This window comes from Homo sapiens, chromosome 20 (assembly GCF_000001405.40).
Source record: "Homo sapiens chromosome 20, GRCh38.p14 Primary Assembly".
NCBI classification, from domain to species: Eukaryota; Metazoa; Chordata; class Mammalia; order Primates; family Hominidae; genus Homo; species Homo sapiens.
Window position 1 is genome coordinate 32,610,386 of NC_000020.11, and position 24,243 is coordinate 32,634,628.

Here is a 24,243-nt window from a genome sequence, read left to right on the forward strand (position 1 = left end):
ACAGGTGCTCAGGATTCCTGTAGTCCCATGTAACAGATTCCAGCAAGGTTGGGTTCCTGGCCTGGGGCCTCTGGGCCTCTGGGCCCATGGTCCAGTCTCATCCTTGCCTGCTTGAGCTGGAAAGGGTTAAATTTTGTGCTTGGCTCCTGCCTTGCTGTGGACCGTGGCTGGGACAGAACATCTGTCTGTTGCTATGGTTGCCATACACTTGAAGGGGATGGCTGGATAATTATGGCAAACGCCGCCGAGCGAGTGAGCGGGTGCCCGGAAGTGGCTCGGGACCCTTGCCCGCCCAGTGCAGTGGCAGGCTGTGGGCCCCTTACCCACTGGCTCACTGTGGAGCCCCTGGCCCTGGACTTGAGTTCCTGAGCTAGCAGAGGAGTCAGCTGGGGCCACTTTGGCCTTTGCTTCATGAGTGAGCCTGGCTACAGAGCCCCCCGTGAATCCTGGAGCAGGGCAGACACCAGCAGCACTGGGCACCGGAGCCTGTGGGCTGTAGGCCTGCTGGCACAGGTGGTGGGCTCAGATAATGCCCTGGTGCCACTGTGTCCTCCCCCAGGGGAGAAGCCCTGTCATCTGTCCCTGCCATGAATGCCCCAGAGCCCAGGAGGCAGCAGGTGGAGACCGACTGCCCACGTCCTGTCCTCTCGGCTCTGCCTGCTCGCAGGGATGCTTCAGCTTCCTCGTCTGCTCATGGAGGATGAGAGGGCCTCCCTGGCAGAGCTGAAGGAGGTCTGTCTGGATAGGGCCTGGGGAAGAGGTGGCTCTGGGACAGGAAATGGTTGCCCCAACCTTGCTCAGCAGGGGGTGGGGAACCTTAAGCTGCCGTGGATTTAGACTGTGGTCCCGTGGAAAGGCTGGAGATTGCTTGGCACAGTAACCAGCTACATGATTTGTGCTTGGATCCAACCCTTGCCCAGCCAAGCTGTGGGCAGGCAGAGGGGCTTGCACCCGGGAGGGCCAGCCCTTCCACCCCACCTCCTCCAGCCTCGCCATGGTAGGCAGCTGAGCTTCCTGAAAGCTCAGTACAGACTCGCAAGCTGGCAGACCCCAGAGGCCCGAGAGATGCTGGCTTCCAACTCCTTCTGTAACCACCAGTGAGACAGAGGCCGGGCACCCTCCCCAAGGTCACCCTCACAGGTTCCTGGCTCTTCCCCATGCTGCTGCCCCCTCTCCTGGCAACTTCCCTCCTCCCATCTGCCTCCCTCACATAACAATTGCAGTCATAATAACTGACACCATGCCGGGCACTGAGCTGTGTGCACACGGCTTACTCCTTTAACAACCTACAGGGAGGGTGCCATTTTTAATGCTGTTTTCACTGGGAGATTATTGAGGCATGCAGCAGTAAAGAGAGCTCCCCAAGTTCTCCTGGCTGGGAAGTAGTACAGCCCAGAAGCTCCAAACAGGGCCACTCTGGACACTGACTCCTTTTCTTTCCCCCTCCCACTAAAGATGACCCCTTGAGAGCCAAGATGGTCTTATTCTTCTGTTTCTCCAGCTCTGTTCACAGAGGAGGCATGGATGCACATTTAACTTTCCACGCATGCATTCATTCAATATGCACTGAGCACAGGCGCCGGGCCCTGTGCTGAGTGAATCAGTGAACCCTCTTCCCCACATTGGGCTATCCAGAGGCTCAAAAGACATTTGCCCCAGGGCACAGAGATTCAAACGAAGGATGAAGTTACTCTGGCAGCCATTACCTCCCAGCATCTCCCATTGGCCTGAAAGGGGCAGGGCAGTGACCACACCCTCATGTTACAGCAGAAGAAATGAAAGCTCAGAGATATGAGGAGCCCTGTCGAAGGTCATACAGCCATGTCTCAGGTGGGGCAGCCTCTGGAACCCAGGAATTCTGCACCCCACAGAGCTCGGTCAGCAGAGAAGACTGCCTGCCCAGGCATGGGGATGACTTCGCTCTTGATGGAATCCCAGTTTGCCTGGGACCATCACAGTTTATACCCCTCAGTCTCAGGCAAGCTGGACAGCTGGTCATCCTAACTCAGGACCTCCCAAGTGCCACAAGCCCAGGCTTTCGGGTCCAGCTACCTGGTCTGGGATCCAATTTCCCTCCCTTCCAAAGACTAGGATCTTGGATAAGGGAGGGCTCCTCTGAGCCCCTGGTCCTCCCTCCCCCACCCAAGGACCTGTGGGCCCCGCCTCAGGCTGCCTTAACAAGTTGAAGTCAGTAGGCCTATGCCAGAGGAGCCACCAGGCCTGCCCAGTTCCTTAGGGAATGTTGGCTGAGCAAGGAGGCCCAAGGCCTCCTTAAAGAGACAGGCACAGGCTATAGCCAAGCTCCACATATTTAACAGGCAGCTCCTGTGAGCCATGAATCAGCATCCCAGGGCCCTTTGGACAACACAGAAGCATTTTCCCAGCCAGGTCTCTCTTGCAGCTATTGGGGTGAGGGTGGGGGTGGGACAAGGAGGCCTGCGAGAAGGGGCCTGGGCACAGGAAGGCTGCTCCTCTGCCAGCTGCAGGGCTTCCTTGGGGATCTATAGGTGCCAGGCACAGTTACCAAGACACATGGAGAAAGGGCTGCAGTGGGAGGCATGAGGCCTCTCTGGCTCCAGGCTTGATCCTCCTGCTGCCTAGTCATGTAATCTCAGATGGGCCCCTGAGCTTTCCCAGGCCTTACTGTCCCTGGAACAATGGCATCTGGCCTCTGCAACTGCTAAGCCCCCTTCTAGCCTTGCTAAGATCCACTGACTGAAACCAGTCTTCCAGATTCCCAGTGTTAGCTGGCTGAATCCTAGGCCTTCTGGTCCCTGGGTCTCAACACTCAGCCTGATAGAGTAGATGCTGAGGAATGCACAGTAGAAAGATGGATGGATGGATGAATGGGAGGGTGGATGGGAGGATGGATGGATAGATGAATGGATGGGTGGGTGGATGAATCAATGGATGGATGGATGAATGAATAAATGGACAGATAGATGCATGCATGGATGGATGGATGGATGGATGGATGGATGGATGGATGGGAGGATGGGTGGGTGGATGGATGGATGGATGGATGGATGGATGGATGGATGGATGAGAGGCTGGCTGGATGGATGGGTGGATGAATGAATGAATGGATGGACAGGAGGGTGGGTGGATGGATGGATGAATGGATAGATGGATGGATGGGAGGCTGGATGAATGGATAGATGGATGGATAGATGGATGGATGGGAGGCTGGATGAATGGATGGATGGATAGATGGATGGATGGACAGATGGGAGTCTGGATGGATGAATCGGTGGAAAGATGAAAGGATGGGAAGCTGGATGGATGAATGGCTGGCTGGATGAATGGACAAATGCATGGATGGATGAGAGGCTGACTGGCTGGCCATTTGGCTGGATGGATAGGAGGGTGCATAGGAGGCTGGCTGGATGAATGGATAGGAGGCTGGGATGGATAGGTGGGTGGACGGATGGATGGATGAATGGATGAATTAATGAATGAATGAGTGAATGAATGAATAAATAAGTGGATGGATGGATGGACAGGAGGCTGGCTGATGAATGGATGGGAGGATGGATGGATGGATGGATGGATGGATGGATGGATGAATGGGCAGATGGGTGGATGGGCAGATGGATGGATTAATGGATGGATGGACGGATGAATGGATGGGAGGCTAGATGGATTAATGGGGGAATGGCTGGATGAATGGACAAATGGATGGATGAGAGGCTGACTGGCTGGCCAGCTGGTGGGCTGGCTGGATAGGAGGCTGGATGGGAAGGTGGATGGGTGAATGGATGGATGGGAGGGTGGATGGGTGAATGGATGGATAGGAGGCTGGATGGGAGGGTGGATGGGTGAATGGATGGATGGGAGGCTGAATGGGAGGGTGGATGGGTGAATGGATGGATGGGAGGCTGGATGGGAGGGTGGATGGCTGAATGGATGGATGGGAGGCTGGATGGGAGGGTGGATGGGTGGCTGCATGGGAGGGTGGATGGGTGAATGGATGGATGGGAGGGTGGATGGGTGAATGGATGGATGGGAGGATGGATGGGAGGGTGGATGGGTGAATGGATGGATGGAGAGAAGGGTCCCTGAACTGGTAGACTCCTTAGTGCCCAGCATGAGCTCTGCCTGATTCCACTTAGGTAAAGGGAAATTCAATGGGCAAATGAGTCCTTCACTCCTTCCTTGCTCTCAGTTCTCATATCCACTCTACTCCCAGAGCCCATCTATTTTACCTCTAACTCTCTCTCCAACTCCCCTACCACCTCCCAACAAAGGCCACTACCCCCTCTAGCCTGGACACCGCAGCACCCATCTCACTAGGCTCCCTGCTGCCTTCCAAACCCTACTTCAGGTCATTCTCTGAGGGCAGTAGGAGGAGTTATGATGTAAATTAGCACCTACTTCCCACCGCCTCAAATCTCCCACTGGCTCTCCTGGAGCTCCTAACTGGGACTGAGTTACCTCTGGACCTCATCTTCCACTGCCTTCACGCAATCTCCGATCCCTCTGTGCTCTGCTATTAAGTGGTCTCCTTGCTGTCTCCAACAGGCACCATGCTCTCACCCACTCCAAGACTTAGAACACTCCTCTGCCACCCATCCCCAGCCTCAGAGCCAACATACCCACATTTCACCCACCTACTTCCTACTCCCCTTCAGATCTCAAGTCAGCAGCCACTTCCACAAAGAAGCCCTCCTTGACCCCCAGCCTGGACTTTTATTTTACAGCTCTTCTTACAGCTGCAGGCATGTGCTTGCATGGTTAGTAACATCTGTCCCCCAGGACACAAACCAGCATGGGCCTGGGGCTCTGTCTGTCCCATTCCCCGCTAGGCCCCTGTACCTAGCATAGCATCTGGCACTAAGTCAAGCTCATTGAGTATTAGTTTATTTATTTTAAATATAAAGGTTTTAAATAAACTGCACACAGGCTGGAGTGCAATAGTGTGATCATAGCTCACTGTAGCCTCAAACTTCTGGGCTCAAGAAATTCTCCTGTCTCAGCCCCCCAAGTAGCTGGAACTACTGGCATATGCCATCATACCTGGCTAATTTTTTTACTTTTTTTTTTTTTTTTTTTTTTTTTTGTAGAGACAGGGTCTCACTACGTTGCTCAGACTGGCCTTGAACTCGTGGGCTCAAGAGATCCTCCCTTGGCTGGGTGCAGTGGCTCATGCCTGTAATCCCAGCACTTTGTGAGGTCAAGGCAGGCAGATCACCTGAGGTCAGGAGTTCAAGACCAGCCTGGTCAACATGGCGAAACCCCATCTCTACTAAAAATACAAAAATTAGCCAGGCACAGTGGCACACGCCTGTAATCCCAGCTACTCGGGAGGCTGAGGCAGGAGAATCACTTGAACTTGGGAGGCAGGGGTTGCAGTGAGCCAAGATCGTACCGCTGGACTTCAGCCTGGGTGACAGAGCCAGATTCTTGTCTCAAAAAAAAGAAAAAAGATAGAGATCCTCCCTCTTCGGCTTCCCAAAGTGCTGGGATTACAGGTGTGAGCCACTGTATTTGTTGAGTGAATGAATGAACAAATGAATAGATGGAAGCCTGCATGAATGGGAGGGTGAAGGATGGATGGAGAGAAGCAGAGTAAGGAGCCAGGAGGGAGAGGGTGAGGGAAAAGCTGTTTTCACAGGGTGGCTGAAGGTGGAGGAGCCATTCTCAAAGGAGGTAACATCTGAGAAGAATCGGGGGCCATGGGCTATGGCTCACGCCTGTAATCCCAGCACTTTGGGAGGCTGAGGCAGGAGGATTGTGGGAGGCCAGTAGTTAGAGACCAGCTGGACAACATAGTGAGACCCTGCCTCTACAAAACATGAAAAAGTTAGCTGGTCGTACTGGTGCACACCCGTAGTCCCAGATACTCAGGAGGCTGAGGCAAGAGGATCACTTGAGCCCAGGAGTTCAAGGCTGCAGTGAACCATGATTGTGCCACTGCACCCCAGCCTGGGCCACAGAGCAATACCCTGTCTGAAAGAGAGAGAGAGAGAGAGAAAGCATCAAGGGGGAGGAGGGAGGGGCCTTGTGAGCGCTGGGGCAGAGGACACGGCATTGCAAGGATCTGCCCCACCTGGGGCCAGCACACATCTGGTACAACCAAAGGACGCAGGAGTAAGCAAGGAGGAGCAGGGTACTGGAGAGGCCAGCAAGGGGTCAGCAGAGCCCCTGGGCCCTGGGGCTGGTCCCAAGGGTGATAGGAGGAGCCAATCAAGGGCCTGGGACAGAGCAAGACTTTGTCTGACTTTCTCCCCTGAGTAGAACATAAGTTCAGGGAGGGCAGGCCCTGGTGTCTTGTTTGTGGTTGTGTATGCACCTAGTGCTGAGTTCAGTGAGTGGCAGAGTGGATTCTACACCGGCGTCGGAGGACACATCTGCCACCCCTGCTCCCCAATACAACCCATTTCCTGCCCAGCAGTCACAGGGGTTCTTCTAAAACAGGTGGTGTCTTTCCTCTGCTTCAAGCCCTCTCCTGGCTTCTGGATCACTCAGAGGAAAAGCTCAAGGCCTTGTGATGGTTCACAGGCCCTACCTCAGGGATTCTCAGCCCCAGCACTAGTGACACTTGGGCCGATGACTCTGTTGTGCAGCCTGTCCCGGGCACTGTAGGACGTTTAGCAGCATCTCTGGCCTCTACCCACTAGATGCCAGTAGCACCCACTCCCAGTGGTGACACCAAAATCTTCAGATACTACCAAAGGTCTCCTGGGCGACAAAGTCTTCCCTACTGCAGGGAGAGGAGGGATGGAGGAGACCTCTGTCCTAGACCCCTACTGAAAATAGCACCCCCAACACTTCCCACCCTGGCTCCCAGCTTTATTTTCTCCATAGCTCCTAACAGCATCTGCCATTTCTTTGATTTATTTGTGTGTTCAGTTGGTCTGACTCTCAACCTAGAATGAGCTCCCTGAGGGCAAGTCCTAGCTTGGATCTCCCCTGGGGCAGCACAAGGTGATCTCCCTCTGTTTGCAGAGATGATGCCTTAATCTCCTGAATTTGGATCCTATCTCTTTGAATTCGGATTGTCACTCCCTGTTTGACGGAAGAAAAAACTGAATAAGAAAAAAAAATGGAGGCTGGGCATGGTGGCTCATCCCTGTAACCCCAGCACTTTGGGAGGCCAAGGTGGTCAGATTGCCTGAGGTCAGGAATTCAAAACCAGCCTGGCCAACATGGTGAAACTCCGTCTCTACTAAAATTACAAAAATTAGCTGGCTATGGTGGCGGGCACCTGTAATCCCAGCTACTCGGGAGGCTGAGGCAGGAGAATCGCTTGAACCCGGGAGGCAGAGGTTGCAGTGAGCCGAGGTCGTGCCACTGCACTTCAGCCTGGGTGACACAGCGAGACTCCATCTCAAAACAAACAAACAAACAAACCAACAGGATCAGAGAGGTTGGGTGACTTAGCCCAAGGATGATCGGCTTAGCCTGTGATGCTGACAGGACTGAAACCTAGGGCCTCTGCCTCTAAATCTCAGTTCATTTGACTCTGTCTGTGTCCCTGACAGGCCTCAGCCTGGGACAGGGTGGGCAACGAAGAGGCCAGAGCAGCTGGGTCCCAGGAAATGAGCACTCCATTGGGGCTCGAACCCAGGACCACCTGGATATGAAGCAGATGAGAGATCTCCCCACCAGGCATGAGAGTTGGGGGAGCGGGGGGGCGGTTATTGCTGGGGATGCAGGTGAAATTATTCCAGTGATTCATTCATCCTAATTGACAAGGTTCTATTGAATTCCTTAAAAGCCCCAGGCTGTGCATTTTGGAAAACATGGCTGCAGTGCACTGGGAAATGTCCTCTGATATCATGCAGGACAGCAGACACTCTTTAAAGACAAAAGTTGGGCCAGGGACAGTGGCTCAAGCCTATAATCCCAGCGCATTGGGAGGCTGAGGCAGTAGGATCACTTGAGCCCAGGAGTTCAAGACTAGCCTGGGCAACACAGCGAGACCTCATCTCTAAAGAAAACAATAAAATAAAATAAATCAACCAGGTGTGGTGGCGCATACCTGTAGTCCCAGCTACCTGGGAGGCTGAGGCAGGAGGATCACTCGAACACAGGAGGTTGAGCCTGCAGTGAACCATGATTACGCCACTGCACTCCAGCCTGGGCAACCAAGTGAGATCTTGTCTCTTAAAAAAATAATAATAAAATAAAAAAATGAAAAATAAATAAAAAGGATAAAAGTTTGTTGAATTTACCCAGTATACATTCCAATTGGGGTGGGATGCTCAGGAGAATGGGGTGCAATTTCCTGAAGAAGAGAATGAGCTTTTCATAAATTACCAGGAGGAAAATAGTGCATGTCAGAATAAACTCTGTCAAGAAATACAGCAGGGCAGCCGGACAGTTAATAATTCAGAGCTGTTCCATAGCACTCCTCGGGATTTAAAAAATATTTCCTTGGGATTGTTGCTTAAAAATACTGTTAATGGCCGGGAACCTTCTCATTGTCATTAATGGGCCAGCTGGGTGGGGCTCCTGGTGGTCCCCCAGGAAAACACCAGGGACACCCATCTCATTTTCCTCGCAGAGCCCAGGATGGGCGGTGAGGACTGGCAGGCTCAGAGGGGGCAAAAGTCCAGCCCCAGACCACACAGCTAGGAAATGGTGGCTGGAGCTCCAATGGGAACCCAGGTTGACTTTCAATGACTCCACCCTGACTCCGGGCAAGGGTTTCCCCTTCTCTGCACTTCCAGTTTCCTCATCTGTAAAATGGGGACCCATGTATTAGCTCAGAGAACAAATATTTATGGAGTACTTGATTTTTTGTTTGTTTTTTGAGATGGAGTCTCGCTCTGTGGCCCAGGCTGGAGTGCAGTGGCACATCTCGGCTCACTGCAACCTCCGCCTCCCAGGTTCAAGCAATTCTCCTGCCTCAGCCTCCCGAGTGGCTGGGATTACAGGCGCCCGCCACCACGCCCGGTTAATTTTTGTATTTTTTAGTAGTGACAGGGTTTCGCCATATTGGCCAGGCTGGTCTTGAACTCCTGGCCTCAGGTGATCCACCTGCCTCGGTCTCCCAAAGAGCTGGAATTACAGGCATGAGCCACTGTGCCCAGCCGGAGTATTTGTCAAAATCCAGGTGTTAGGATGGACGGTAACCGAAACAGACCCAGTCCTCTCACTTCATGGAACTCGGTCTGGTGGAAGAGTCAGACAGTGACCAAATATATCTCCTCAAAAATGGTAATCGGTATATCTAGAAAACAAAGACGAGTAAAGGGACAGGGGGGAGGGGGGAGATTTCAGTTAGGATAATCAAGGAGAGCCTCCCTGGGCAGGTGGCAATTGATGACAGACCTGGAAAAACAGAGAGGGAGCTGAGAGGCTTTCAGAAGAAGAGGGCGGTGAGAACCGCAAGTGCAGGGGCCCTGGGAGGGGCTTTGCCTGCAGTATTGGAGGAACAGAGAGGGGCCAGCGTGGCTGGAGCACAGCGAGCCAGCGGGAGAGAGGTGGGAGGAGAGGTCAGAGAGGACGGCAGCGGCCAGCTCCTGGGAGACCCTGTAGACGTTTGAATTTTATTCTAAGAATGATGAAGATCTGCCACAGGGCTGGTTTGCAGGGGATGGATTGGTTATCTATTTTATTGGTTTATCTATTTATTGGATTGGTTATCTATTTTAAAAAGATCCCCTGAATGCCAGACACAGTGGGTTGTGCCTGTAATCCTAGTGCTTTGAGTGGCTGAGATGGGAGGATCACTTGAGGGTAAGAGTTTGAGACCAACATGGACAAAATAGCAAGACCCTGTCTCTCTATATATATGTTTTTTAATTTAGACCGGGCACAGTGGCTCAAGCCTGTAATCCCAGCACTTTGGGAGGCCAAGGCGGGTGGATCACCTGAGGTCAGGAGTTCGAGACCAGCCTGGCCAACATGGCGAGAGCTCATCTCTACTAAAAATACAAAAAAAAAAAGACTTAGCCAGGCTTGGTGGTGCATGCCTGAACTCCCAGCTACTACTCAGGAGGCTGAGGCAGGAGAATTGCTTGAACCCAGGAGGTGGAGGTTGCAGTGAGCCGAGATTGCACCATTGCACTCCTGCCTGGGTGACAGAAGGAGACACCGTCTCAAATTAAAAAAAAAAAAAACTATGTGTGATGGTGCACACCTGCGGTCCCAGCTATTCAAGAGGCTGAGTGGGAAGGATCACTTGAGCCCAGAAGGTTGAGGCTGCAGTGAAGTATGGTCACACCACTGCACTCCAGCCTGGGCGACAGAGCAAGACCCTGTCTCTACAAAAAAAATAAAAAATAAAAGACCCTCTGAAAAGTCTCCAGATTAAATTGTCAAATGAAAAATGAACAGGACAGAACCACATGCACAGTATGCTACTGTCGGCTTTAAAAAAAAAAAAGGTATGCATTGTATATACATAAAATTATCTCTGGCATGATAGATGAAAATAGGAGAAGCTGCCTGCCTGTGAGGAGGAGTCCTGGCTGGCTGGACTGGGTGGGAGGGATCATTTCTACATTTTTTCTTGCACCTTTTGAATTTTGAACCATGCAAATTTGTTACCTAGTCAAAAATAAATAAATAAATACTTTTTGGAAGTAAAGAAAAAAAGAAAAAAGAAAATGAAAAAGAAAGGCCCCTCTGGCTGCCGTGTGGATAATGGATTATAGATTCACCAGGGTGGCTGGGGTGGGAAGGAGGCTTGAGTGAGTTGGTGGGGATGAGGCTGGGGGTGGGATAGTGGGGAGGGGGCTGAGGTGGGGAGGAGGCTGGGGTAGGTTGGTGGGGAGGCTGGGGTGGGGAGGAGGCTGGGGGTGGGATGGTGGGGAGGAGGCTAGAGTGGGGAGGAAGCTGGAGTGCAGAGGAGGCTGGTGTGGGTTGGTGGGAAGGAGGCTGGGGTGGGGAGGAGGCTGGATTGGTGGGGAGGAGGCTGGGGTAGGGAGGAGACTAGGGTGGGGAGGAGGCTGGGGTGGGGAGGTGGGGAGATATTTTCAGTTCCACTGTGTAGATGAGGACTGTGAGGCTCAGACAGGCCAAATGCCAAGCTGCAGACCTTTCGGCTGGAAAATGGAGGATGGGCTTGGATGAGAACCCAGGCCCATCAGGGTCCTCATTACCTCCCTTCTGTTCTCTGCTATGTGTTCCCTTGAGGCCCCGGTATGAGGGATTTGGTTCCCTGGGTCCCGTACCTACAGCAAGATCTTGACCACAATAGGTGCTCATAAATGTTTGCTGAGTGATGAATTTGCTCATTTGATCATTCATTCATTCAACAAATGTATCAGTGACTCCTCTGTGCCAGGCATGGTGCTAGGGCCCTGGGATTCAGCCTTGAACAAGAGAAAGCTCCCACCGTTTTGGAGCTCACATTCTCAGGGGGCAGGGGTGTGACAGGCAATCAAGATATGTATAATATGAGCACTAAGAAGAAGAGAGCAGACCAATTGAGAGGGGAGGTGCCTTCAGATGGTCAGGGAGGGCTCGGAGGAGGAGGGCATGTGACAGTAGAGACTTGAAGAAGTGTGGGTTGGGTGCCTGTAATCCCAGCACTTTGAGAGGTTGAGGTGGGAGGATCCGTTGAGGCCAGGAGTTCAAGACCTTCCTGGGTAACAGAGAGAGACTCCGTATCTACCAAAAAGCCGGGTGTGGTAGTGCACGCTGTGATCCCAGCTACTCTTGGAGGCTGAGATGGGAGGATCACTTGAACCCAGGAAGGTGGAGGCTGCAGTGAGCCATGGTTGTGCCACTGCACTTCAGCCTGGGCAACAGAGTGAGATCTTGTCTCAAAAAAAGAAGAAAAAAAAAGCGGTGTGGAGTTTGCCCCGGGGACACTGGGGGAAGGCCATTGTAGGCAGAGGGAACAGCAGGTGCAAAGGCATGAGGTGGGCTCGTGCTTGAAATGTCTGAGCAACAGCAAAGAGGGGCAGTAGAGTGAGCCAGGGGGACAGGCAGCCAGGCTAGGCCATGCCTCGTGGGTGCTGGATTCCTCCGGGGATGGCAGAAGGCTATGGAGGGCTCTGAGCAGGGGCTTAACAGGCTCCGAACGAGGTTTAAAGCGAATGAAGCTGCGCCCTGTACCATCTGTGGCGTGGGGACCGTGGCGGCCTAAGCTGCACAGGCTGCCTTGCAAGATTCTGGGAGAAGAAAATCTCAGAGTGCTGAGGCCAGAGGGACTGCCCCACCCTGCAAGGATCTTGGGTGTTCTGGAGGGGACCTGGCAGTGCAGACAGAGCCTGGGGTTCATGTCCTGACTCTACCACCTCCCAGGCGCAGAGCTCAAGACTGCTCCTGGGACCTCCGCTGTCTGCCTTGTCACAGGGGGACAGGGTCAGGGAGGGAGAAGGATTCCTGAAGGCTGGCGATGCTTGGTGTCCCGCAGTGCAACTGCCAGTGGCAGAGCCCGACCCGGGCAGCTGAGGCCCACCAGGAGGAAGCAACGGCCTGGAGGCCGAGGGGCCACCGCCACCTCCACTGCCCGTCGCTGCAGTCCTGGCTCTGGCTCCGGAGGCCTGGCTGTGGCCTCCTGTGCTTTCACCATCTGTGCACTGCGCTGGCCAGGCGTGCCCTGCTCTAGGGTGCCCATCTGGACGCCAAGCTGACAGCACATCCGGCTCGAGCAGGGCATCTTACAAACCATCGTTAGACCTGTCAGGCTTCCAGCAATTTTGTTTGGTTTTGGTTTGGTTTGGCCCCACTCCTCTCCTAGGGAAGGGAGAGGTCAGGGAAGGGAGAGGAGAAAGGAGCTCAAGCTTCCTGTCTACTCTTTCTGGGCTGGCCAACACTCACCATCTCATTCTGTCTTCTCAGTCCCCATTGACAGGTGGGGAAACTGAGGCTGAAAATGGTGACTGTCCAAGGCCACTTGAGGGTTAAGTAGCAAAGCCAGAAGTTAAATCCAGGGCTACTCTTGGAGGCTGAGGTGGGAGGATCGCTTGAGCCCAGGGGAAGGTCAAGGCTGCAGTGAGCCATGGCTGTGCCACTGCACTTCAGCCTGGGCAACAGAGTGAGATCCTGTCTCAAAAAAAGAAAAAAAGAAAAAAGCAGTGTGGAGTTTGCCCTGGGGACACCGAGGCAAGGGCATTGTAGGCAGAGGGAACAGCAGGTGCAAAGGCATGAAGTGGGCTCGTACTTGAAATGTCTGAGCAACAGCAAAGGAGGGCAGTAGAGTGAGCCAGGCTGGACCACGCCTCATAGGTGCTGGACCTTCTCCCCAGTCCCAGTTCCCACTGGCACCTGACTCCTGGTAGGGGCTTGGGTGTGGGTGGGGTAGAGAAAACAGCATCCTCATTCCAGATTCTGGGCCAGGAAAGGCTCCTGGCCATGGTTCCTCTGTGGCGGTGGGGAAGAGGGCCGGCGGGCAGGCTGTGCTGTGAGCCTGGCTCCCTCCTCCCTGTGGAGGGGCCATGACCCCGGCTCAGGTGACACAGCACCTGCAGCACGAGCCGCCACCTGCCTGGCCTGCTGGTGACAATATTCCCCGAGCAGCGGGCAGGCTAGGGGGCCTCGGTTCACCGGCCCAGCCTCGGGAAGCCCAGAGAGAGAGGTCAAGTGTGCTGCTGCCAGGCTTCCAGAAGCTTCTCCAATTTCTGCGGTCCCAGCAACTTTTGGTACGGATCTAGGGCAGTCTGACCCCTGCTGGACCCCTCACAAATGCCGGGTCCCGTATGCACACTTGAAGGTCGCTGCCACCACGAGCAAGGCCTTCTGCCCTTGGCCTGTTAGGGGCCTTGGAGACTCTGGAGAAAACCCCCAGTGGCACCACTGGGCCCAAGAGCCACCAGCAGCCAGCGCCATTGTCGCCACTGTGGGTTAAGAACTACCCTCCCTCTACTGTGGGTTAAGAACTACCCTCCCTCTCCCACTTACCTTTTAAAAAATGCCTATAATTTTACAAAGGAGAAAATGTGAAGTCTTTTTTTTTTTTGAGACCGAGTCTTCCTCTCTCCCCTAGGCTGGAGGGCAGTTTGGACGATCTTAGCTCACTACACCCCCACCTCCCGGGTTCAAGCGATTCTCCTGCCTCAGCCTCCTGGGTACCTGGGATTACAGGCACCCGCCACCATGCTCGACCAGAAAATGTGGTCTTTTACATATCAAGGAAATAGTAACTGGCTGGAAAGCAGGAAAGAGCATCAACTCCCTATTAGACTCATCGGAGCCGAACTCCCTGTTAGACTTATCGGACCCGAACTCTGATCTTGATCTGCACTTCAACCAGTGGCCTCAGCCCACTCCCCTGGTCTTGCATTTGTCTCACTGTCTCCCCTAAAGACATCCCTTCCTCCCCTTCACCAAGCATGTCCCCCTTGGGGTCAGCCCTCGCCTGGACTATTGCAGTAGCCTCCAGGCTAGTCTCAGCTACCCTGTACACCCTCCAAATAGGCCACAGAGTCTTTGTCTCAAACACAGGCCAGACCTCCTGCCCTTACTCAAAACCCTACCATGGGCCTCTGGTGGCCCCAGGATTAGGTCTTGACACCCTAGTCTGGCCTTCAGGATCCTTCCTGTTCCAGCTTGGCCTGTCTCTCCAACCCACCCCTTACCACCCCCTGGGTCATTAAGAGCATAGGCTTTGTAGTTGCTGTGTGACCTTGGGCAAGTTACTTAACTTATCTGAACCTTGATTTCTCATCCATGAAAGTGAAATAGGTCTCTGCCACAAGGGGAGCAGGGTTTCAATTGTGCGATTCCAATAATCTCATGTGTGTAGCACTGGACTAGGATATACAGTGGGTGCTCAATAAATGTAGCTATCCTTATTTGTCACTACCCCATGAAACGACTAAAAATCTCCCACAGCATACTCTGCGGAGCCTATGCAGATGCTGCGTCCTCTGCCTCGGCAGCCTAGTGAACTCCTATTAATCCTTCAACACCCCTCTCAGGCAATGCCCTGACTGGCCTGGTGTCAGCTGTCCTTTCTCAGAACCCTCCTCCATATTGGCCAGATTGCTGCACTAGAATTCTTCCCTTTACTTGTCAGTCTTCCACCATATGACTGTGGGTTCCTAGGGGCAGTGGCTATAAATGACAAAACTGAGCCAGCCAGGGAGGGCTGGGGTGATGAGGGAAGGGGTATGAGACAGGAAGGAGGGAAAGGTGGAGGGAGAGAGGCTCTGTGGTTGGCCAAGGCAGAATAAAGCTTTCATTCAATCATTTGTTCATTCACCCATTCATTCAACACATGCATACTGACCTACTCTATTTAAAGCCCCTTGCTAGCTTTCCCCAGCTTCTAGAATCACTCCAAAATCTCTCGGCCAGGTGCAGTCAAGTATTTTGGGAGGTCGAGGTGGGAGGATCGCTTGAGTCCGGGAGTTCGAGACCAGCCTGAGCAACATGGCAAAACCCCATTTCAAAAAAAAATACAAAAATTAGCCAGGTGTGGTGGCGCACACCTGTAGTCCCAGCTATCTGAGAGGCTGAGGCGGGAGGATCACTTGAGCCCAGAAAGTTGAGGTTGCAGTGAGCCGAGATCGTGCCACTGCACTGCAGCCTAAGTGACAGAGGAAGACTGTCTCAAAAACAACCCTGTCCTCCATGGGTGGCCCTCGAAGCCCCAGGAACCCAGTCCTCCCCAGTGGACCGCTCCACCCTCAGTCTCCCTGTCCCTTTCTGTCCCTCCCTGTGCTCCAGGACTCTGGCTCCCCTTTGGTTCCTCAAGCAAGACCACCTTCTAGAACGCCCTTCTTCTGACCTTTCCAGGACGACCCCCAGGACAGGCCCCTATCACTCTGTATAAACAGGGTCTCACCCCCACAGCGCGGGTTCCGCCTCAGTCCTGTGTCTCCTACCTCATTCTCACCCAGCCCACGCCCAGACGCACTTGTGGGATCAGGGGATTAACACCCACCTTCTCAGTAGGCTGCGAGCTTCCCACTTCCCAGCATGCCTGTGGTGACTAGCGCCCACCCGGAGCGCCCCAGGAGACCAGAGCCAAAAGGGACCTTGGTGAGCATCGAGGTCCGCCCCCACGTGTTGTAACAACAATAATAAAAAATAATATTTCCAACAACAACAGCAGCAGCTAACACTGCCCACGTGCCAGGCGTTTCGCCTTCCGTGCAGTTTCCTCGAATCCACGCAACAACCCCATACAGAGAGCTCCAGTTCCATCCCCATCTTACAGAGGAGAAAACTGAAGCTGGGCAAGGCTGGCCAGGCCCCTGGGTTGCAGGCCCTGCACTCTTCGGTCACCACTAGGCTGTGCTGCCAGATGACCATGGTGGCAACACTGGACGGGGTTGGGGCTCCACAGACTTGAGCTCTGTGATCCCAAACAAGTCCTAGACCTTTCTGGCCTCAGTCTCCCCATCTGGAAAATGGAGCTAACCACAGTCTCTTCATCAGACTGAATGTTCACAGGAGGGAGGGACTGTCAGGGCTTCCAAGTACAGAGAGAGGGGACGGGTACCATGAGGGCAGGATTATGGGGGTCCCCAGGGCCTCCCCCACAGGTAAAGCCCCACCCAAAGCCAGTTCTGCCCAAGGCCTGCTCCAAGAGGACCCCTGCAAGGCAGGGTGAGTGGAGTCCTCCCTGGGGAGTGCCCAGTGCCCACACACTCCCTTCTAGAGAAAGAAGACAGCACTGTGCACAATGAGACCAGGGGACCCGGGGTGTGTGGGGGCCACCAGGTGGGGCACAGCACACCCTCCACTGAACCCTGAGCCATGGGGACCCTGAGCGCTCCCAGCCCTCCTGACACCTGCTTCCCCTTGCCACATGGGCCCTGGCAGTGGGAATGGGGCGTCTGCCGGAGCCTCTCCTGGGCTGTGCCAACCTCCCTATGCCCAGACAAAGCCCCCCTCCCCCGGCCTCCGGGGAAGGGGTGGGCCAGTGAGGGAGCTGACAAAGGGAGCCAGTGGGGCTGTGCCTGGGGCTCGTGCCACCCCACTCCCCGACCTGCCCACAGTGCCCACATCCCCCTCCTGCCACTTGGCCGGCTGGGGCGCCCGGCACCGTTGCTATGGCGGCAGCTCTGGGGAAGCTGCAGCTGGGTAATTATTGCGAACATCCATCCTGCCTCCAGCCCGCCCCAAGAGCCGGGCAGCGAGCAGCGGGGCCAGGGCAGCCCCTCCTCACCCGCCGGGCAGCCGCACCCTGGCCTGGCACGATGCCTGCCCGAGGTACAGTGGGGAGGACAGCCATGCAGGCTGCTGCAGCAGACAGGAGCCAGCCCAGGGGCTGGCCAGGAAACCCCCACTTTCGCCCTGGCCCCCCAGCCCTGGGCCACCCTTGGAGCTGACCGGCCGGCCCAGAACTTATTTTTTCCAGCTATAATACACACACCAAACCAGCCAGAGAACCTCCTTTGTTCAAACAGAATCCTTCCTCTGCCGTTTTGGGGGCAGTGGAAGCCAAAGCAGCCAGAATGGGCTCTGGCCTGTCACCTAGGGACGGTCCCCTCGATGAGGCGGTTCCCCTGGGGCCCCACTGTGGGCCCCGCCACCTCCTCAGCCTCAGAAGCTCGCCTTGGCCCTGGTGTCTAAATATAGCTCTGCCGGGCCAAGCCTGAGGTCTCACACTCCCAACTGCCCCGGGTGGCCGGGGGAGGAGATTCATTCAGGCCTCGAGAGAGCATTTCAGGAGCCACTTAGGGCTGAGCTCAGGGCCCCCACTGTGACGCAGGTGTGCCTCTGCCTGTGGGGCTTGCGGACCCCCTCAGGAGACACACAGATATGATTTTGAGTAGCTAACTCGATCGAGAAAACACAGACCAGGACTCCCCTCGCCCAGCCTGGAAGCAGGATGCGTCAGGGCGGGAGGGAAAGGAAGGGGTCTAGGCTGGGGAGGGGAGGCACCAAGGGGAGAGAGAGGAAGTGTGGTCTGGCGCTGGAACAGATTTGTGTGGTAGAATGTGGGGTGCGCCCCAGCAGGACATGGGCTAGGGAGCAGTGGCCGGGGGTCAGCAGGGTGCAGAGCACAGGGATGCCGTCTCTTCTCCTTTTGGCTCCACTGCCCCTCAGGGCCCTGCACAGGCTGGCACTCGGCAGGAGATACCGCTCAGATGTTATTTTCCAAAGAATCCCGAGGCCGGGCACGCTGACTCACGCCTGTAATCCCAACACTTTGGGAGGCCGAGGCGGGTGGATCGCTTGAGGTCAGTTCGAGACCAGCCTGGCCAACATGGCAAAACCCCATCTCTACTAAAATACAAAATTAGTTGGGCGTGGCAGTATGTGCCTGTAATCCCAGCTACTCGGGAGGCTGAGGCAGGAGAATCGCTTGAACACGGGAGAGTCTCCCGGTGAGCTGGGATCACACCACTACACTCCAGCCTGGGCAACAGAGCAAGACTCCATCTCAAACACACACACACACACACACACACACACACACACACACACACACACACACACACAGAGAGAATCCTGGTGGCCAGAGTGGAAGTGGAGGCAGCACAAAGGAGGGGGACAAGGTGGCGGGAGCAGCAAGGGGCCACGGGCGAGGCAAGGGTCCCCTGGAGCTGCAGGTGAGAGAGGAAAATGAAGGAGAATCCACAGGACATGGGGGATGAGAGCAAGGGAAGGATTCAGGCTGCCTGTGCCCCTCCCCAGACCTTGGTCATCGAGCCGCTGACCAGGGCCCTGCTTGGGGGACAGACACTCTAAAATAAAAGGGTAAATATCTGTTGAAAGAGAGCCCGGCCCCTGCTCACCACCAGACATTAGGGCCTCGGGGAGAAGGCCTTCTGCTCAGCTAGTGCGGGTGGAGGGAGAGCAGCCTGGTCCCTGGCACAGCCTTCTGGGTAGGGACTGTCTCAGCCTCAATGGCCTTTGGACCTCCCACTTTCAGTCCCAGCAATAAATCTTCCCAACAGCACACGGTTTTCTACCTGAAAAGCTCTTTCCATCCAGCATCCTCTGCTAGCTTCAAACAGCCCTGGCACTGGGCCAGGCAGGGAGGCACAGCCATTGCAGAGGTGAGGAAACTGAGGCTCAGAGAAGTGAGGCTCAGAGATCTGCCCAGGCATGGAAAGGGGAGGGACCATGACTAAGCACCCACTAAGTTACAGGGGCCTTTGCAAACATCACCTGGGGCTGCAGCTAGAAGGCGGAGAGTAGAACTTGAAGTCAGGAGTAGAACTTGAACTTCCGACTGATTCCCTGGTCCTGGGCTCCCCTGTCCTCCTGAGACAGAGGCTAATAGGAGCCAAGACGGGGCCATTCCTTTTAGCACCATGTTTTCTGAGAATATAAGCTGGAGAGGGTGGGGCAGGAGGTCTGAGACAAACAAAACTGCACTTTGGAATTATCCAGTCTGACTGCAACCACCTCTATCTTACAGATGGGGAAACTGAGGCTCTGGCCTGGCCCAGGCCCAAAGAACCCACTGTTTCCCAGATCTTGGAGTAGCTGAGACTGGGTAAGTAAGTCCCACTGATCCCAGAGCTCTTTTTGGATCCAGCTGTCCACACAGCATCTGGGGTTTTAATTGGGTATTTTGGGGAAGGATTCTGAATGCAAATTTGGAAGAGAGCTCTGGGCCAGCCCTGCAGCTAATGTCAGCCATGGGAACTCACAGGCCACTGGGTTAGAGTGATGTGGATCAGGTGTGATGCAGAGGAGCATGTGAGAACCAGCACCAGCCACTGGTAGGACTCGCATTAGTGCAAGTGACCACAATGGTGGGTGCCAGGCACCATAAGGGAGAAGATGGTGGTGGGGCCTTCAAAGAGTGCCTGGAGCGTGGCGAAGCTTCCGGGCGGCGTGGCGAGGCTTCCGGACGTCGCACTACGACTGTTATTGTCCTTGTCCCTCTGCACCAGATCTCCATCCTGGCTGTTTTTCACAGCGTCCCCAGAAAGACTCTGTGAGGGAAGGTCTATTATTATCTCCATTTTCAGGTCGGGGGGCATTTAGATGGGAGAGAAATTTGGGGACTGGGGGAGTTCTTCCCCTTCTCCCTGAAATTGCCCCAGGCCGGGGACCCTGTCTCCCACCCACCAACAGGGCAAGCCAAGATGGTTGAAAAGTTCTCCTTGGCCCAGCTTTAAAAGCCAACCCAACAGAGTGATTGGAAGTCCAAGAGTAAGGAGAGCTTAGTTTGGACTTCCCAGAAGGCAAGTTTTTATATAATACCGATCACAAATTTGGTACCCGTCCTCTTCAGTAGTGCCAGGGGTTCAGCTGGGTACCTATCTTGGAGAAACTGCTGGAGTGCACAGTGAGGCCTGTTCAGGGCTGTGTGTGGGAGTGAAATAATGGAAATGTCCATTTATAGGCCAGAGGGCAAATAAAGGATGGACCAGCTCACACACAGAACACTGCACAGCACGGAGGAGGAGGCAGGTCTGTATGCACTGACTCAGAAATGTCCATGACACGTTGTTCAGTGAAAAAGAAGGCATTGGCCGGGCGCGGTGGCTCACGCCTGTAATCCCAGCACTTTGGGAGGCCGAGACGGGCAGATCACTTGAGCCCAGGAGTTTGAGGCCAGCCTGGACAACACGGTGAGACCCCCCATCTCTACAAAAAAAAAAAAATACAAAAATTAGCCAGGCCTGGTGGTGTGTGCCTGTAGTCCCAGCTACCTGGAGGCTGTGGTAAAAAGATTACTTGGGCCTGGGAAAGCAAGGGTGCAGTGAGCCGAGATCACACCACTGCACTCCAGCCTGGGGAACAGAGTGAGACCCTGTTTGAAAAAAAGAAAAGAGGAAAGGAAGGAAGGAAGGGAGGAAGGAAGGGAGGAAGGGAGGGAGGGGAAAAAAAAATAGCCCGGGTGCGGTGGCTCACACCTGTAATCCCAGCACTTTGGGAGGCCAAGGCAGAAGGATCATTTGAGCTCAGGAGTTCATGACCAGCCTGGCCAACATGGTGAAACCCCGCCTCTACTAAAAATACAAAAATTAGCTGGGTGTGGTGGTGTGCACCTGTAATCCCAGCGACTTGGGAGGCTGAGGCATGAGAATCGCTTGAACCTGGGAGGCAGGGGTTGCAGTGAGCCAAGATTGAGCCACTGCACTCCAGCCTGGGCAACAGAATGAGTCTCTATCTAAAAAAAAAAAAAAAAAAAAAAAAAGAAAAAAAGAAAAAGAAAAAGAAAGCATCTTGCAGAACAAAACATACAGAATGTTACTACTCACGTGAGACGCATACCTAAACACAATATGCACATCTAAACAGATATAAATATAGATAGTCTAGGTATAGGTGTTGGTACAGGCACGACACAGGCATAGGTAGTGGCATAGGTATAGTTACAGATATTGGTATAGGTATTGGTATAGGCATGGCATAGGTATAGGTATATACACTGACCAGCTGACAACAATGGTTTAAACAGAATGGGGCTCAGGAGGTAAAGAGGAATTACATGGCCTTTTATTCACTACATTTTATTAATGTTTGAGATTTTACAATGAGAATATTTTCCTGAAATATTCGTCTGATGCTAAAAATTAAAGAAGAAAAGCAGCTGGCCACATGGCTGGGAGCCTGAAGCAGGGCTCAGTCTGGGCGCTCATAAGAGGCAGGGTCTGTGGGGGTCAGGCCTGTTTGGTAGTCTCAAGCTACATCTGGAGACTCTTCCTAAATCCACTGTGGCTCCCTCTCCCCAAGGCCAGAGCCAGAGAGAGCTGGTTTCCACAGCAGCAGTAGCATACGCAGGTCCCTGCAATCTGGAGGTATGTGACACCGGGACATTTACCCTGTGCGGTGGGCCCACCTCTGCCACCTCTGCTCCTTGAGGCAGGGCAGGACTTCAGAATTGGCCAGAGGGCGACCTGAGACATGCAGGCAGAGAAGGGAGCCAGTGACCTCTAGGACCCCCAGGGCTTAGGCAGGATGCCGCGTGGAACCCAGAGCAGTCTCCCCAGCCTGGGCTTGCATTTGAGCCTCACAAATACCGCACTGGGGGAGGCAACAGCCCGTCTGTGCCCCTGCACTCCCAGCAGTCAGCAAGGTCAGGAGTGGGAGAGGGGAGAAGGCCTTTCATGGAGCACTCCTTAGATGCTGGGCCCTGAGCTAGACACATTTCCTACTCCCTAACTTTGGCCTTTAAATCTCGTTCAGTGAGTTCTTTTTGACACATGGAAGCTTGGGAAGTTTTTCGGCCAGCTACTGAAAACAAAGGGGTAAAATAATTCAAACAAAGCAAAGGGATGTACAGTGAAAAACAAGTCTTTTCTCCTCAGCCCCCAGTCCCCGCCCGGGAGAACCCATGTGCGCACTGGAGCACATGCACGTGTGTTCCTGCCCCCTCCTTGGTACTAACAGAAGCGCTCCCCACAAAGTGCGCTGTATCTGGCCTTTTTCACAAAAAAAACATGTATCTCAGAGCTTCTTCCACAGCAGTACACGGGACCGCCTCGTTCTTTTTCATGCCTAGAATTCCATGGCATGCAAAAGTCTTTAGTATTCATGTAACCAGATCTAGAATTCTGGCTCCATGGTTTTCTGCCTTTTCCATAGGCTTATTTCTGTTCTGCACAACAGCCCTGGGAGGCAGGTGGTCCCTGTGTTAGAGATGAGGAAACCAGGGTGACGGGATTAGTCTGTTCTCACGCTGCTGTGAAGAAATGCCCGAGACTGGGGTAATTTATAAAGAAAAGAGGTTTAATTGACTCACAGTTCTGCGTGGCTGGGGAGGCCTCAGGAAACTTACAATCATGGTGGAAGGCAGCTCTTCACAGGGCGGCAGGAGGGAGAGTGATACTGAGCAAAGGGGGAAGCTGCTTATAAAACCATCAGATCTCGTGAGAACTCACTCACTATCATGAGAACAGCATGGGGGAAACTGCCACCATTATTCAATTATCTCTACTTGGTCCTGCTCTTGACACCTAGGGATTATTAAAATTCAAGGTGAGATTTGGTGGGGACACAGAGTCAAACTATATCAGTGACTCACCATCCCAGTTTGCCTGGGACTGTGCCAGGAAAACCCTCAGTTTTGGACAAACCAGGATGGTTGGTCACCCTAAAGGTAAACTGAGGCTTGGAGGGTAAGGACATTCTCCAAGATCTTGTGGTTGATCCGTGGAGGCCTGGGATGGCCACTGAAGTCCACCTGATGGTGATGATACTCTAGGAGGACAATGATCATATAGTAAGTGTCTCCTCTGTGCCTGCCCCTTCTTCAGCCCTCATAACAGCCCCAGGAGGCAGACAACGAGGCACAGATAGAACTTGTGACAGGCGAACTGGGGTCAGATCTCAGCAGCAGGGCTTGGCTGTGTGACCACTGTGGTCAGCTCCTTCTCAGCCTCCTGTCCTGGGCCCACAGCAGACATACAACAAATGTTTGTTGAGGGGAAAAAAAGGCATGAATGAAGTATTATTATCCTCATTTTATGGGAAAAACTGAGGCACAAAGAAGCTGTCCCTGGCACAGGGTCACAATTTGAACCTGGACAGGGGCTCCAGAGCCCATGACACGTTTCCCTCTTGTAGAAGGTCCTTGTCTGTAACCTGGTGGTGCCTCCTGCCTCTGACTCCTCCGGCCAGTCGCCCTGACAGCCCCCTCACCGCGTTGCACTACCTGGTCCCCTGGTCCCAGCCTCCTTTCATGGAAGGAGGTCTTGCCGTCTGCCTCCCTACTCCTGACTTGGGGCCCCTGCTCTGAACCTTCCACCCCGTCCGCCTGGACTGGATGCTTCTCCCGGATCCTGATGCCTGAGCTTCAGCTTCCCCACTCCGGACTGTTTCATGCGTTCATTCATGTGTCCAACTCTTCACTCCTTTCCTCAACAAACATTGACTGAAATTGAAATGAGCCAGTTCTACCCCGGTGTTGGGAATTCCGAGATGAATCCAGCCTGAGCTTTGTCCTTGGGGGACACAGAAAACAACAAAGAAATGGCACTTGTTACCCAGAGACCCAGAGAGATGCAGCTCTGATGGAGATGGCGCAGGCACGGGCTGCTGGGGCTTGAGTTCAGGGGTTGGGGGGAGGTTCCTAGCCTGGGGGCTCTGGAAAAGCTTCCTGGAGAAGGTTATGCTGGAGTCTGGAAAGATAAGAAAGAATTAGCAAGACAGGCATTGGGAGGGGAGGCGAGAGGTACTGTGACATCATGGACAAAGCGGTGGAAGACAGCGTGAGACATTCAAGAAGTGCACGTTGTTCCTTACAGCTGGGTCCAAGCTGTCCTCAGGTGTGGACGCGTGGCTCTAGGAAGCCCAGCACCCTCCCGAGTACCTAGCCAGCTCCGGGCCCAGCAGGGCTTCCGAGAATTTCATGTCCAGAAATTTATCAGAAAAAAACACAACAAAACAATCAGCAATGTGGACATGAAGTTACGCAGGACGGAGGATGTTTACTGCGGTGTTTTTATCACAGAAAACGAGTGAAACAGCCTCTGTGCC

The 24,243-nt window shown here is 53.9% G+C and overlaps 1 protein-coding gene across 1 annotated transcript in view, besides 5 other annotated features; it reads right to left on the bottom strand.

Moving 5' to 3' along the window:
- Positions 128-743: an enhancer, noted in NCBI's record as "H3K27ac-H3K4me1 hESC enhancer chr20:31198315-31198930 (GRCh37/hg19 assembly coordinates)". NCBI's record gives its function as "activates a minimal SCP1, AML or CMV promoter by ChIP-STARR-seq in primed H9 embryonic stem cells {active_cell/tissue: H9 hESC(primed)}" and the evidence as "EXISTENCE:reporter gene assay evidence [ECO:0000049][PMID:30033119]".
- Positions 744-1,357: an enhancer, noted in NCBI's record as "H3K27ac-H3K4me1 hESC enhancer chr20:31198931-31199544 (GRCh37/hg19 assembly coordinates)". NCBI's record gives its function as "activates a minimal SCP1, AML or CMV promoter by ChIP-STARR-seq in naive and primed H9 embryonic stem cells {active_cell/tissue: H9 hESC(naive and primed)}" and the evidence as "EXISTENCE:reporter gene assay evidence [ECO:0000049][PMID:30033119]".
- Positions 8,715-9,215: an enhancer, noted in NCBI's record as "H3K4me1 hESC enhancer chr20:31206902-31207402 (GRCh37/hg19 assembly coordinates)". NCBI's record gives its function as "activates a minimal SCP1, AML or CMV promoter by ChIP-STARR-seq in naive H9 embryonic stem cells {active_cell/tissue: H9 hESC(naive)}" and the evidence as "EXISTENCE:reporter gene assay evidence [ECO:0000049][PMID:30033119]".
- Positions 12,869-13,419: an enhancer, noted in NCBI's record as "H3K4me1 hESC enhancer chr20:31211056-31211606 (GRCh37/hg19 assembly coordinates)". NCBI's record gives its function as "activates a minimal SCP1, AML or CMV promoter by ChIP-STARR-seq in primed H9 embryonic stem cells {active_cell/tissue: H9 hESC(primed)}" and the evidence as "EXISTENCE:reporter gene assay evidence [ECO:0000049][PMID:30033119]".
- Positions 16,938-17,007: a silencer, noted in NCBI's record as "silent region_12804". NCBI's record gives its function as "represses an Ori minimal core promoter by ATAC-STARR-seq in GM12878 lymphoblastoid cells {active_cell/tissue: GM12878}" and the evidence as "EXISTENCE:reporter gene assay evidence [ECO:0000049][PMID:35858748]".
- The window catches only part of C20orf203 (chromosome 20 open reading frame 203), a 42,317-nt gene continuing 39,313 nt past the window's right edge, over positions 21,240-24,243 (bottom strand). The window contains exon 6 of the mRNA NM_182584.4: positions 21,240-23,885. The gene's annotated coding sequence lies outside the window, so the exon portion shown is untranslated. The remainder of the gene's footprint in view (positions 23,886-24,243) is intronic.